Source organism: Homo sapiens, chromosome X (genome assembly GCF_000001405.40).
Source record: "Homo sapiens chromosome X, GRCh38.p14 Primary Assembly".
Taxonomy (NCBI): Eukaryota; Metazoa; Chordata; class Mammalia; order Primates; family Hominidae; genus Homo; species Homo sapiens.
Window position 1 is genome coordinate 121248009 of NC_000023.11, and position 15700 is coordinate 121263708.

Consider the following 15700-nt stretch of genomic DNA (forward strand, 5'->3'; position numbering starts at 1 on the left):
GTTTTGTGGTTCCATATACATTTTAGAATTGTTTTTTCCATTTTTGTGAATGTCATTGGTATTTTGATAAGGATTGCATTGAATCCGTAGATCGCTTTGTGTAGTATGAACGTTTTAACAGTATTGATTTTTCTAATCCGTGAACATGGAATATTTTTCCATTTTTGGTGTCCTCTTCAATTTCCTTTATCAGTGTTTTATAGTTTTTATTATAGATAGCTTTCACTTCCTTGGTTAATTGCTAGGTATTTATTTTATGTGTGGCTATTGTAAATGGGATTGCTGCTTTTGATTTATTTTTCAGATTGTTCACTGTTGGCATATAGAAATGCTACTGAGTTTTGTATGTTCATTTTGTATCCTACGACTTTATTGAATTTGTTTATTAGTTCTAATAGTTGTCATGTGTAGTCTTTAGGTTTTTCCAAATATAAGATTATATCATTAGCAAACAAGGATAATTTGACTTCTTCCTTTTCAATTTGGATGCCCTTTATATCTTTCTCTTGTCTGACTGCTGAGGCTAGGACTTCCAGTACTATGTTGAGTATCAGTGGTGAAAGTGGGCATTGTTGTAGATCTTAGAGGAAAGGCTTTCAGTTTTTCCCCATTTAGTATGATACTGGGTGTGGGTCTGTCATATATGGCTTTTATTTTGTTGAGGTATGTTCCTTCTTTCCCCAGGTTTTTGAGTGTGTTTACTATGAAGCCATGTTGAACTTTATCACATGCTTTTTTGGCATCAATTGGAATGATCATATATTTTTTTTTTGAGACAGAGTCTCGCTGTGTCGCCCAGGCTGGAGTGCAGTGGCGCAATCTCAGCTCACTGTGACCTCCACCTGCCGGGTTCAAGCAATTCTCCTGCCTCAGCCTCCCGAGTAGCTGAGACTACAGGCACGCGCCACCATGCCCAGCTAATTTTTTGTATTTTTAGTAGAGACGGGGTTTCACAATGCTGGCCAGGCTGGTCTCAAACTCCTGACCTCATGATCTGCCCACTGCGGCCTCCCAGAGTGCTGAGATTACAGGTGTGAGCCACCGCACCCAGCCGATCATATGGTTTTAATCCTTCATTCTGTTGATATGATGTATCATTTTGATTGATTCTTCTAAGTTGAACTACTGTTGCATCCCAGGGATAAATCCCACTTGGTCGTGATGAATGATCTTTCTAATGTATTGTTGAAATCGGTTTGCTAGTATTTTGTTGAGGATTTTTGCATCAATATTCATCAGATATATTGTCCTATAGTTTTATTTTATTGGTGTGTTTAGGTCTGGTTTTGATGTCAGGGTAGTAACTGGCCTTGTTGAATGATTTTGGAAGTATTCTCCCCTCCTCTATTTTTTGGAATAATTTGAGTAGGATTGGTATTAGTTCTTCTTTAAATGTGTAGTAGAATTCAGCCATGAAGCTGTTGGGTCCTGGGCGTTTCTTTACTGGGAGACTTTTTATTATGGCTTTGATCTCCTTGCTTGTTATTGGTCTATTCAGGTTTTGGATTTCTTTTTGGTCCACTCTTGATAGGTTATATCGATCTAGGAATTTGTCTGTTGCTTCTAGATTTTTCAATTTATTGGCATATAGTTGCTCATAGTAGCCACTAATGATCCCTTGAATTTCTGCAATATCAGTTGTAGTGTCTCCCTTTTCATTTTTGATTTTATTTATTTGGATCCTTTTTCTTTTTCTCTTAGTCTGGCTAAAGGTCTGTCAATTTAGTTTAACTTTTCAAAAAACCAACTTTTTGTTTCATTGATCTTTTGCATTTTTTAATTTCAATTTCACTTATTTTTGCTCTGATCTTTAATTTTTCTTCTGCTAATTTTGAGTTTGGTTTGCTCTTGCTTTTCTAATTCTTTAAGATGCACTGTTTATTTGAAGTTTTCCCTTTTTTGATATAGGCACTTATACACTTCCCTCTGATTATTGCTTGTGCTGTATCCCATAGATTTTTTTTTTTTTTTTGAGATGGAGTCTTGCTCTGTCACCCAGGCTGGAGTGCAGCAGTGTGATCTCGGCCCACTGCAACCTCCATCTCCCAGGTTCAAGCGATTCTCCTGCCTCAGCATCCCAAGTAACTGGGATTACAGGCACATGCCACCATGCCCGGCTAATTTTTGTATTTTTAGTAGAGACAGGGTTCCACCATGTTGGTCAGGCTGGTCTCGAACTCCTGACCTCATGATCCACCCACCTTGGCCTCCCAAAGTGCTGGGATTACAGGTGTGAGCCACCACACCTGGTGCCCATAGATTTTTATGTGTTGTCTTTCCATTATCATTTGTTTCAAGAGATTTTTTAATTATCTTCTTTATTTCTTCATTGACCCAGTGGTCATTCAGAAGCATGTTGTTTAATTTCTGTGCATTTGTATAGTTTTCAAAATTCCTCTTATTACTAATTTCTAGTTTTATTCCATGGTGGTCAGAGGAGACACTTGATATCATTTCAATTTTTTGAATATTTTAAGACTCATTTTGTTACCTAACATAGGGTGTATCCTTGAGCATGATCCATGTGCTGAGGAAAAAAATGTGTATTTGGAGCTCTTAAATAAAACATTCTGGAAATATCTACTGGATTCATTTGGTCTATACTGCAGATTAAATCTAATGTTTCCTTGTTGATTTTGTGTCTGGAAAATCTGTCCGGTGCTGAAAGTGAGGTGTTGAAGTCTCCAGTTATTATTTATTGGGGCCTATCTCTCTCTTTAGGTCTAATAATTTTTTTATATATCTGGGTGATCCAGTGTTGGGTACATATATATTTAAAATTGTTATATCCTCTTGCTGAATTGACCACTTTATCATAAAATAGTAAACTTCTTTGTCTCTTCTTACAGTTTTTGTCTTGAAATCTACTTTGTTTGATATAAGTATAGTGACTCCTGCTCTTTTTTGGTTTCCATTGCCATGGAATATCGTTCTCCATCACATTATTTTTAGTCTATGTGTGTCTTTATAGTTGAAGTGCATTTCTTATAGGGGACAGTTCAGTGGATTTGGTTTATTTTTATCCATTCAGCCAGTCTATGTTGTTTGATTGGAGAATTTAGTCCATTTACATTCAATGTTATTATTGGTAAGTAAGCACTTACTCCTGTCATTTTGTTGTTTTCTGGTTGTTTTGTGGTCTTCCCTTCCTTTTTTTTTTCTTTCCTTTCCTTTCTTCCTCCAGTGAAGATGATTTCCTCTGCTGATGTGATTTATTTTCTTGCTTTTTATTTTTTTTTGTTTGTGTGTGTATTCATTATATGTTTTCTTGGTTTGAGATAACCATGAGGCTTGCCAATACTGTTTTTTTTTTTGAGATGGAGTCTCACTCTGTCACCCAGGCTGGAGTGCAGTGGCGTGATCTCGGCTCACTGCAACCTCCACCTCCCGGGTTGAAGCAATTCTCCTGTCTCAGCCTCCTGAGAAGCTGGGACTACAGGTGCACACCACCACGCCCAGCTAACTTTTTTGTATTTCAGTAGACGGGGTTTCACCATGTTGCCCAGGCTGGTCTTGAACTCCTGAGCTCAGGCAATCCACCTTCCTCAGCCTCCCAAAGTGCTGGGATTATAGGCGTGAGCCACTGCGCCTGGCCACCAATACTATCTTATGACTCATTTTAACCCGATAACAACAACACTATTTGTATATACAAACACAAAGCAAAACAAAAACTAATAATAATTCTGTGCTTTAACTTCATCCCCCACTTCCTAACTTTTTGTTGTTTCTATTTATATCTTATTGTATTGGCTATGTCTTGAAAAATTGTTGTAGTTATTATTTTGGGTATGTTCACCATTTAGTCTTTCTACTTAGGATAAGAGTAATTTACACATCACAATTACAGTATTATAATGTTCTGTTTTTCTGTATACTTACTATTACCAGTGAGTTTTGTACCTTCATATGATTATGTATTGCTCATGAATGTTCTTTTCTACCTGATCGAAGTACTCGCTTTAACATTTCTTGTAGGACAGGTCTGGTATTTATGAAATCCCTTAGCTTTTGTTTATCTGGGACAGTCTTTGTTTTGTCTTCATGTTTGAAGAATATTTTTCACTGGATATACTATTCTAAGGTAAAAGTGTTTTTTTTTTTTCCCCTTCAGCACATTAAATGTGACAAGCAACTCTCTCCTGGCCTGTAGGATTTCCACTGAAAAGTCTGCTGCCAAATGTATTGGAGCACCATTGTATGTTATTTGTTTTCCCTTGTTGCTTTTAGGATCCTTTCTTTATCCTTGACCTCTGGGAGTTTGATTATTAAATGCCTTGAGGTAGTCTTTTTTGGGTTAAATCTGCTTGTTGTTCCATAACCTTCTTGTATTTGAATTTTGATACCTTCTCTAGGTTTGGGACTTTCCCTGTTATTGTTCATGTGGATGAACTTTCTATCCTTATCTCTTTTTCTGCTGCCTCTTTAAGGCCAATAACTCTTAGATTTGCATTTTTGAGGCTATTTTCTAGATCATGTAAATGTGCTTTTTTTAAAAAAAGCACATTTGTCTCCTTTGACTGCGTATTTTCAAGTAACCTGTCTTCAAGCTCACTAATTCTTTCTTCTGCTTGATTAATTCTGCTATTAAAGGACTCTGATGCATTCTTCAGTATGCCATTTGCATTTTTCACCTCCAGAAATTCTTCTTGATTCTTTTAAATTATTTCAATCTCTTTGTTAAATTTATCTTTCAGAATTCCGAATACATTTTCTGCATTATAATGAATTTCTCTGATTTTCCTCCCTATAGCTATTTTGAATTCTCTGAAAGGTCACATGTCTCTGTTCTTCCAAAATTGGTCTCTTGTGCCTTATTTAGTACATTTTGTGATGTCATGTTTTCCTGGATGGTGTTTATGCTAGTAGATATTTTTCAGTGTCTGGGCATTAAAGGATTAGGTATCTATTGTAGTCTTAATATTGGTAACCATTCTTCTTACGAAGGCTTTTCAGATATTTGAAAGGACTTGGTTGTTGTGATGTAAGCTGTATCTGCTTTAGTGGGCACCCCAAGCCCAATAACAATGTGCTTCTTGCAGACTTGTAGAGGTACTGCCTTAATGGTCTTGGACAAGATCTGGTAGAATTCTTTGGATTACCAGGAAGAGACTCTTGTTCCCTTCCTTTACATTTTCCCAAAGATACAGAGTCTCTCTCTCTTTTTTGAGCCACCTAAAACTGGTGGTAGACACAAGCAGCCCTGTGGCCACCACCACTGTGACTACACTGAGTCAGACCTGAAGCCATCATAGCACAGGGTCTCATCCAAGCCCTGCTGTAATCAATCTTGGCTACTGCTTATGTTAGCTCAAGGCCCTTGGGGTCCACAATCAGGAGGTGGCAAAACCAGCCAAGACTGCATTCTTCCCTTTAGGGGGGCAATGTTTCCCAATCCCTGGATGAGTCCAAAAGTGCTGTCTGGGAGTCAGTAACTTAAGTAAAAGTCCTCTGCTATCTACCTGGTGTTCTGTTGCACTGCGGCTGAGCTGGCACTCAAACCACATGAGGCAGTACTTTCCACTCTTCCCGCCCCTTTCCAAAGGCAGAGGAGCCTCACTCCATAGCCACCACTACCCTAGGCCATGAGGAGTACTGCCAGGCTACTGCTAATGTTCTCTTAATGCCCAAGGGCTCTTAAGTCAGCTTGTCATGAATGCTGCCTGGCCTTGGACTCACTCTCCAGGGCAGCGGGCTTCCCACTGGCCCAGGGCAGGTCCAGAAATGCTGTCCAAGAGTCAAGTACTGGAATCAAGGACCCCAAGAGCACGCTTGGTGCTTTATCCCCTTGTGGCCTTGCTGGTACCTGAGGTACAAGACAAAGTCTCCTTGACTTTTCTTTCTGTTTTTTGCAAGCAGGAGTAGTGCCCTATAGCCACCACAGATGCTTATGTGGTGAGTCTCAGCTGAAGCCAGCAAGTCTCAGAGGTGCACCCAAGACCCTGGCTGTAGTACCTGGGTATCACTAGTTATTCAGGGCCCAAGGGCTCTTCAGTTAGCAAGTGATTAAGGCTGCCAGGACTGGGTCCTTTCCTTCAAGGCTGCAGGTTTCCTTCTTGCCCAGGGTGTGTCTAGAAATGTGTTCTGGAAGCTAGGAGCTGGAATGGGGGCCTCATGACTCTGACAGGTGCCCTTTCCTGCTGTGGCTGTGCCGGTATCCTAGATGGAAGATGCAGTTCTCCCAACTCTTTCTCTCCTCTACTCAAGTGAAAGGAAGGGGTCTGTTATGGAGCTGTGAGCTGTACAGCCTGGGGTTAGAGGAGGCGTGATTGCAGCACTCCCTTGGCTTCCCCATCTGGTGTCTCAGTATGTCATGTGCCCCTGCAGTTCACTGTCTCTGGGCCTAATTTAGCACTAGGACTCACCTAAGATTTGCAGTCCTTATGGCCTAGACTGCCTTTCAAGTTTACTTGGAGACAGAGAGTGCTGTAGCCTTTGGTAGCGAGGTTTGCAGGCACTCAAGTTTGGATTGCTGGGATCTGCGATTCCCCTCTGGCTAGGGTTGGTTTAAAAGCTCCCCCTATAGGCAAGCATCAGCTGAGTGTTTTGAGGGTTTTCTTTCTGCTCCAACAAGAGAGTAATGAGTTCATTTCCTCACAATTGCTGTGCGCTCTCCTCCCCAGCATCCAGAGTTGCTCTCCACACCATGCTGGTGATGCTGGGGTGGGGGATGCGTGGTATTGACAATTCAGGACTGTTTTTTCTATCTCTTCAGTGCCTCTTTCAGTAATACATAGTTAAAACCAGGTACTGTAAATGCTTACCTGATTTTGCATTCTTTTGTAGATGTTTTTTTCTTTGTAGATAGTTGTTAACCTGGTGTCCTTGTGGAGGAACAACAGTAGAGGTTTCTATTCTGCCATCTTGCTCTGCCCTCCAAAGCCCGAAAATGTTTTTATTTTTAAAGTCTTGCGATGCGATATAACTTTCCTTTTGTATCTATGTATCATTACTTTAATATAGTTGTGTTTTTGAAAAAAATGATAGAGGATACATGTACTAAATTAGTTTCCATGTATGTCTAGGTTGAGATTAGCTAATATTCCAAGTCGACATAAACTAGGCACCAATGTATACTTGATGTCAGTTTCCCAAATTGCAAGCACAGGGCAAAAGCGTAGATAAATAACTGATAAATAACTAACTTAAAGAATTTTGCACTCATGTCAAAAGATTGCTGTGACAGTTAAATGGCATAATATATGTAAAACATTTAGAATAGCATCTGGCACATAGTAAGCACTATGTGTCTTTGTTGTTGATGCTGTTACTGTTGTTAAAAAATTATACTACAGTATATTTGCGTGTGTGTGTGTATGCGTGTGTATGTATCAAGGGCTTGACTTTAGTTTTAAAATATCTACAATTTGTTCTGTCAAGTACTTAGATTTAATCAACAATTCTAAATTATCTTCAAAAATCCAAGAGAAACACATAGGTATGTAAATATGAATAGAACAATGGTGTAATATTCATTATTTATTTTTAATTCTATTAACATGGTTTATTTGCATCTTATAGCTATTTTCCTTTATAGTCAAGTACATGCCAATATAGGTGTCATGATTTTACTAATACTCTATGTGTGTGGATTAAAAAGTCAGCTCTTTATCATTTATTTATTCTTTAGCACTATGCTTACAATTTGGGAAACTGTTGTCAGGTATACATTGATGCCTAGTTTATATTGACTTGGAAAATTAGCTAATCTCCCTCTAGGCATGGAAATCTGATTTAATACATGTTTTTTTTTTTTTTTTTTTTTTTTTTTGAGACGGAGTTTCGCTCTGTCGCCCAGGCTGGAGTGCAGTGGCGTGATCTCGGCTCACTGCAAGCTCTGCCTCCCGGGTTCACGCCATTCTCCTGCCTCAGCCTCCTGAGTAGCTGGGACTTACAGGCACCTGCCACCACGCCCGGCTAATTATTTTGTATTTTTAGTAGAGATGGGGATTCACCGTGTTAGCCAGGATGGTCTCGATCTCCTGACCTTGTGATCCACCCGCCTCAGCCTCCCAAAGTGCTGGAATTACAGGTGTGAGCCACCGAGCCCAGCCTGCATTCTCTGTAATTAACCCCAGTGTGCAGATGAGGAAACTGAAGAACGTTAACAATAGTAACTCAAATTTCTCTGACTCTTGACTCTGCTTACTTATATAAGGCCTCTAGCTCCTTGCAGATCTTCTAATTTCACTCTTCCCTATCATCTATTATTTCTGAGTGTCCAGATACAGCTTGTGAATCTATACAGTTTGTGTTGTGTGCTTCTGTTGCATACTTACGCTTCTGTGTGTCCCTTACCTAGCACTAGTTTCCAACTAGGTACTGTTGCCACTCTGTTAGGCAGTATAGTCTATTGTGTGTTTTGGGGAGAGTGGAGGTACTTTTTATTTGTACTCTATTGACTCTCAGAAGGTAGCATCATTGCTTCATTATCCCTCAGGGGAAAAAGCAGTCTTCTGCTGGGTGCCACCACACTTTCCTTGGACACTATTGCTGCTTTTCTAGACCACCCTCTAGAACACTGATGGTAGCGAAGGTGAACTGTCCTTTGTGATAAAGAGACCCCTCTTTTGCTTTGTTCTACATGATTAGTGGAGTTGAGAACAGTCTGCTTATCTCTGAATGTACTGGAATTTTTTTATTGAAACTGCAGTTTGCAACTTTTACACAAAATACTCTTTCTTTTCAGAGCTTAGATATGTTTCCATGAGGCTCGGCCAAGGACAGATTTGAGTCATATGTTATATGTGGAATTACTACTCCCTTCAGATGACTAAGATTTGTTGCTAGGTCGAGTTTTTGTCTTTTCCCATCTCTCTCTCTCACTTCCTGTAGGATGAATTTCCTCTTAGTAGCCTCTTTGTCCCCCAGTTTATCCTTCCAGATTTGTTCAAGGATTTCTTAACCAATCATTTAGACTCAAGCTTGACTCATTTTCATAGAGAAGAGACCATTTGGTTTTGCAGTACCCAGTGTGCCCTCTTCAAGGTGTGAGTCATCAACAAAGATAGAATTCTGCTGCAATTTGATTTTTGTAAAAATAAAGTGGTTTCAGCTGATGAAGCAGAACCAATAGGGGCTATCAAGTTGTGCTGCTTAAATGCATTTTTACATTTCAACCTTTTCAAAGATCTTAATTAAAAAGAATGCCCATTAGTACCCAATACTCCAACCAGTACTCCTTTCCCTTTTTGAGTTTATGCAGCGTATCATTTTTTTTCATGAATTCTGTCAGCACGTAAGAGAATATTGTGAAAGTAAATAGCTTTTTATCAAAATTAAGCAGCTTTGCAAGGATACAGTTCCATCTGGATATGTTTTCAAAATGCATGGCTGCAAAGAAAACTCACCCTGTTGCTGAGATACAAATATTTTATTTTCTAGTGATCGAGTGTTGGTAATGCTTGAATTTAAAGAAAAGCATGCATTAGAGAATTGCTAATGGTTTCATGGGGGTAATTTCAGTAATATTCCAACCCTTGAAGTTTTTTATGAGAAGGTTTGAGAGCTTAGGGTCAGATTTGTGTTATTTAGACTAACGCCCATGGATCAATCCTTCAACAATATTGCTAAACCAAGCTAATGTAATCAAATAGAGGATTCCTCTATTGTGGCGCAGTCAAGTTTTCAAAGTTGACAAGTAAGATGAATTTAGAAGAGAGAGAGTTTATTAGACAATATAAAAATAAAAGTCAATCTTAAAGCTTACCAATGAAAAATAGGCATTTCAGCTGTGCAAACTGAATACAGCTGAAATGCTAAGGTCATGTCTTGTGTAGAAAGGGAGACACAATTTCATTCTGATTCTACTGACATTTTGCTTTCTAGGTGTTAGGCACTGAGCTAAGTACTTAAGATAGCTTAATAAAATATGATTTACAAATCTCTAAAATTCTTTAAAAAACCTCTTCCTTTAAGTATTCCTTAGTGCTCATATACATCTTATTTTTCAAATTGAAATTAGTTTAATAATTACAATGTGTGTTTACTGTAGAAAGATTAGGAAATATAGTCAAGGAAAACATTTCTAAAAATCACTTATAATTTTATTATCCAGAAATAACCATTGTGTCATCTGGGTGAACATTTTTCCAGGACCATTTCTATGCATGTACTTCATTTTATAGGGATATATTTCTAAAACAGCTTACACTCCTTCCAACTTGCCTTCTTCTTGACTGTAGCATGCTAATTATTATTTAGCTTCATAGTGATCACTCAAAGTCAGGATTATAAACATCAGTTTTTAGTCTGTTTTTGCTATATGAAGTCTTCATTCTAGAGTTCTAAGAGAGGCAACCAAGAGGCTACTTTTAATCTAAAGGAGGATTTAGGACTCAGAGCAATACCACAATAGAGCAAGAGTGCAAATTTCAGACATTATTCTGAATTATCTGTGGATTCTCACTTGCAGAGAATCTATGGATTCTCTACTTGATTGGTAGGATGTTTTGAAATAATGCTTTAGTCTCAAGGGAGGGAATATGCATAATTATTTAAATATATTAGTTGAAGCAAAACTGGACCATGGGTTTAACTGTTGTTACTAGTAGGCAGACTAGTTGATGGGTTATATAAGCTTATAGTATGAGAGATACTAGAAAACATATCAAAGACATTTCTCTAAAGATCTCTCTCACCACCTACTTCAGTAATGTACAGCATTCACCATTAGAGCTACTTCCTTGGTACAGGGCATTAAAATCTCTGTGAGAATGCAAATATGTTATGTGGGAGGGAAAGTACCATCATCTAGAAACATCTGAGTTTGAATGAGTAATGGAACTCAGCAAATAGCACAGTGCCTGGCATATAGTTTGTATGACAACTAGTTTATTAATTGGATGTTGAAAAAAGGGCACAGAGGATTTGATATAAGCTTGAACAAAATGGCCCAGGAAAGCATCAAACACAAAAACAGCTTCTCTGCTGTTCTCAGTTTATGGAATGTGTAGTGTTCACAGCTTTTGGAGTGGTGAACATCCCAAATAGAATAGATGAGGAAAATGTGTTGTACCTTTTGCTACTCTGCAAATGGTATTTGGACAGAAGATCAAATTCCCTCATCCAGTTTTAGTTGGATATTCTTCTGGAGATGACCAGAGAAAAACTGAGTATCTTTAAGGGTAAAGAAAGTTACCCAGTTTTCTAAATTGGGCTGAAGTTATTGCCACGTTTCAGCAAGGACATTCTCACCTAAGGGTATGAGGCAATGATATGAGTGGTGAAAACAAGTCTCATTCTCAGTTGATTTATGGTTAATGCTTCAGATCAAGAGTTTGCTCCTCTCCTTCCAGAGCACTCTACTTACAGGAAAGCTACTTGAGAGTAAAGAGTATAATGCTGAGTTGAGTAGTAAAGTTAGACTGCTTGGCTTGGGAGTCAGGATCTACTTACGCTATCTGATGAACAGCTATCACCCAGAGAAACATGGCAGAGTATGGGATTCTGAAAAGACAAGAAGCAGCTTGACTAACATTTGATAAAGAGCAAAGAAATTGGGCACCTGGGTGCTCTCTTAGCTAGGAGTCAGGGTAGCATTCTGAGTATCTCTATATCCAGAAAGGAGGAAATTTAGGGAAGCTTGAAAAGGAGAAAAAAATGCACCAAAAGATAAGACTGCTTCTGTTTCACTTTACCATGCATGGCCAGCACAGTATTCTTAGGCCCATGAGGTCCAGGAGAGGTAGGAGTTTCAGGATATTCCGTTGGTTTTGCTTCTATTTTCTCTTCTCATTCCTTGGATTTTATATTTTTCTCTATGTCCATTTGTATAGGCGAGAACATTTTGTAATAGCTTTGGATGAAGAAAATAGCTGTAAAGTGTTAAAAAATGCCAGGAAGTAAAAACTCAGTTAAAAATTTATTTACCTTTCTGCCATCAGCTTTTCTTTTTATGGGCAGATATTTTAGTTATGAAAATTCCATTTATGGTATGAGTATCAGGAGAAACCCAATAAATGTAAAGTAATGCACTTTAATAGATGCTCATATTTAATTTTTGTATTTTTTATTTTAGAAATGCTCTTAAAAATATGTGGCTCTTGTCTTTGGTGAGAGAGACATGAAAAAAAATCTCTGCATTCCAGGAAGCAGACCAGTTTTAATTAAAAATGTCAGTCTAATTTGTCTTCCTCCCAGAGCTACCGGTATTTTGCCTTTGGGCTGTTGTGTAGACTTATGTATCATTTGTCTGAATATAAGTAACTCTCATTTTCACACTTGCCTTTTCTTGCCTAAATCCTGTGTAGGATTTAGACAACCTAAAGTTTGTCAAAATGGTTGGTTATAGTGGCAAATTAATTTCATATCTGGTGTGTGTATGTATATATATACACACACACTTTATATATATATATAAACTTATGAATAGAAGATGATTTTATCTTTTGTGTGAATGAAACAATAAAACATGGTCCTGTTGGGGGTCCCCATGATCACCCTTCAATGGGATGATTCACTAGAAGGACTGACAGAACTTACAAAAGCTGTTACAGTCATCATCATCATACATTACAATAAAGGGATACAGATAAAAACCAATAAAGGGTAAAGATGCATAGGGTAGAGTCCACAAGAAATGGGTGTAGTCTTCCAGTTGTCCTCTCCCACTGGACGGACACAGACAGCACTTAATTTTCCCAGCAACCATGTGTGACAACATGGGGAAAGTGTTGTTAAACAGGATTGCTCATCCAAGACTTGGTTGCCAGGGTTTTATTGGGTGTCAGCTGTATAAGCATGCAAAGCATGACTGACCTTAGCTACTCAGTGTCCAGCATCTCTCTCTCCTCATCAAACTGATTCAGTGTGGCCCAGGGCCCCAGATGTTCATGATAAATCACACTGTTAGCATGTTCTCTGTGGTGTGTCCCAAGGCTCTGGGTATACAAAGACTTTTAATCAGGCAGCATATTCCAAGGGCTTAGAAGTTATTTCACAGGACCCTAACAAAGGTCAGTCCTAAGAACCTTTGGAATGTGTAGGATTTAGACAACGCAGGCCTGCTGAGATTACCCTTTACTACACAGTGGTGGTGCCAAATACAAAGGCTTTTCACATTAACCAGAGTGCTGGATTACTTCTTTGGGAAAATGGTAAAGGCATTCCTTTGCTTTTAAAATGTTGAAGCCAAGTGGACAAACATTGTCTTACCTCAAGGGTGCCTTTTCTGTTGTGTATATGTTCTAAGGGGAGACTAAGTAGCATTGTGGAGGCCAACAGAGGCCTGGTTTGTGGAACAGCCACTATCGCTGGTAGTATGTGCATTGTCTCTAGAGGGCTGTGTGTCAATGTTAAAATATTATATGGAAGAGGAAACACTACTTGGTTAACTATTTGTTTATCTGTGTAAATTTCTTTATCTTGTTGTACAGCATAAAATCTGACAGAGAAGAAAACACCAGGGAATGATGAATGAACATTTTTATTGGGAAAACTGAGAACAAAAGTCTGGAGTAAAGAGTGATAAAAATGGTTAAGCTTGTGACCACACATGGGTGTTCCTGAGAATCAACAAGGAATTCTGAGAGCAGGGTGTATGAAGGATATTCAGTAAATATTAATTCAATATGAAGATACATTTCTCCAACTTCCCAGTTTTCTTGGAGGGCAGACTGTGAGGATATGATATGTTTTTGGTCTTGTGTTTACTTGTCAATCTCACTTGGTTTCAAACATTTAGAAGAATATAATGAATATATAGGATATTTGGGTGTCTGTGACTTATATTTAAGACTTCTTACTTTTAGTAACAGGATTAATTTCAGACCCAACCTGTGGGTAGAGCAGCGGCACACAGTGGTGGGAATTTAAAGGAAAGCCATGGCACTGATTGTTAAAATGTGAACTGTAGTATCAGGTAGCAAACTGGATCTTATTCCACATAGAGCAAGGTTTAGTATAAAGACCAGTTTACTCTTATGGTATCCATGTAAAATTTTACATCTAGAAATTTGAAGTATCCAGCAAATATAAATTTTTTATTCAAATGTTATTTTAAAATTATACTGAATCCTCTGTGATTTGGATACTAAATTTATAAAAAGGTAAATTTGAGCATGTAGCAAACATAGATCTGAATAAACTTGGTGCTTTAATATTAGTAGTGATGGCTAAACATGTTTAATGAGCAGACAACTTCATAGGAATAATTAGTCAAAACAGTAAGGTCTAATAAAAAAATTTGAAGCTGAACTAGAAACTCAGTTTTATGTTTGTCTTTTTAAATTTATGGATGATAGAATTGTATTTCGGGTTCTGCCAAATTGGTTGCATAAAAGAACATCCTGTATTTTTCAGTAATTAATTTATAAAATGGTTTCAGATTTTGTTGAAGAGAAATTGATTTGATAATTGTTCTGTCTTCCAAATGTGTTTTAATTTTATACTGTACAATTCAAAGGCTGTGTAACTTTTACTTAACGAGCCACCTAATTTTAATTATTCTTCTCTCTGTTTTTCCTCTCTTCTTTTCTGCTCCTCTGATTTTTGCTCTCTGACTCTCTCCCCTGCCACCTTTTCTCCCTATTTTCATCCATCCATCTATCCATTGAATAATTTTGCATCCTCCTATTTACAAGTATAATACTAATTACTAGGGGCACAGAGATGAGTAAAGCTCACATCTTTTCCTTAAGAATTGCTACATCTGCACCTATTCAGTGTTGTCAGTCTTCTTGTGATTGTAAAATATTTACTAATTGTGGCTTTAATTTGTATTTCTCTGATAATTAATGAGGCTGAGCACCTTTTCAAGTACTCATCGGCCATTCATATACTTTATTTTGTGAAATGTCTAGCTCTTTGGCTAATTTTTATTGGATTGTGTGTCTTTTTATTATTGCATTGTAGGAGTTCTTTCAAAGTTCTGGATACAAGTGTTTTCTCAAATAATATACATTGGAAAAATATTTTCCATTCTGTGGCTTTACTCTTTTTTTCCAGATGTATTGAGGTATCATTGATTGATAAATAAAAATTGTATATGTTTAAGGTATGCAACATAATGCTTTGATATATGCATTGTGAAATAATTACCACAATCGAGCTAATTAACATATCCATCATCTTGCATAGTTACCTTTTTTGGTGAGAATATTTAAGATGTAATTTCTTAGCAAATTTCAAATATATAATACATTATTAACTAATGTCACCATGCTATACATTAGATATCCAGAACTTATTCATCATATAACTGAGAATTTATGCCCTTGGATGAATATCTTCCTATTTTCCCACAATCCCCAGTCCCTGGTAACCACCATTCTACTCTCTGTTTTGGTAAGTTTGACTTTTACAGATTCCACATATAAGTGAGATCATGAAGTGTTTGTCTTTTTGTGTCTGGCTTATTTCACCTAGCATAATGCCCTCCAGATTATTCATGTTGTCTCAAATAGGATTTCATTTTTGTTAAGCCTAAATAATATTACACACACACACACACACACACACACACACACACACACACACACACGCAGGTTTAGTATCCGTTATCTGGAATGGGAGTGCTTGGGAGCAGAAGTGTTTTGAATTTTGAATATTTTCAAGTTTTGGAATATTCACATATATATAATGAAATATCTTGAGGATGGGTCCCAAGTCCAAACACAAAGTTCATTTATGTTTTATATATACCCGGTACACATAACCTGAAGGTAATTTTATAGAATATTTTAAATAATGTTGTGCATAA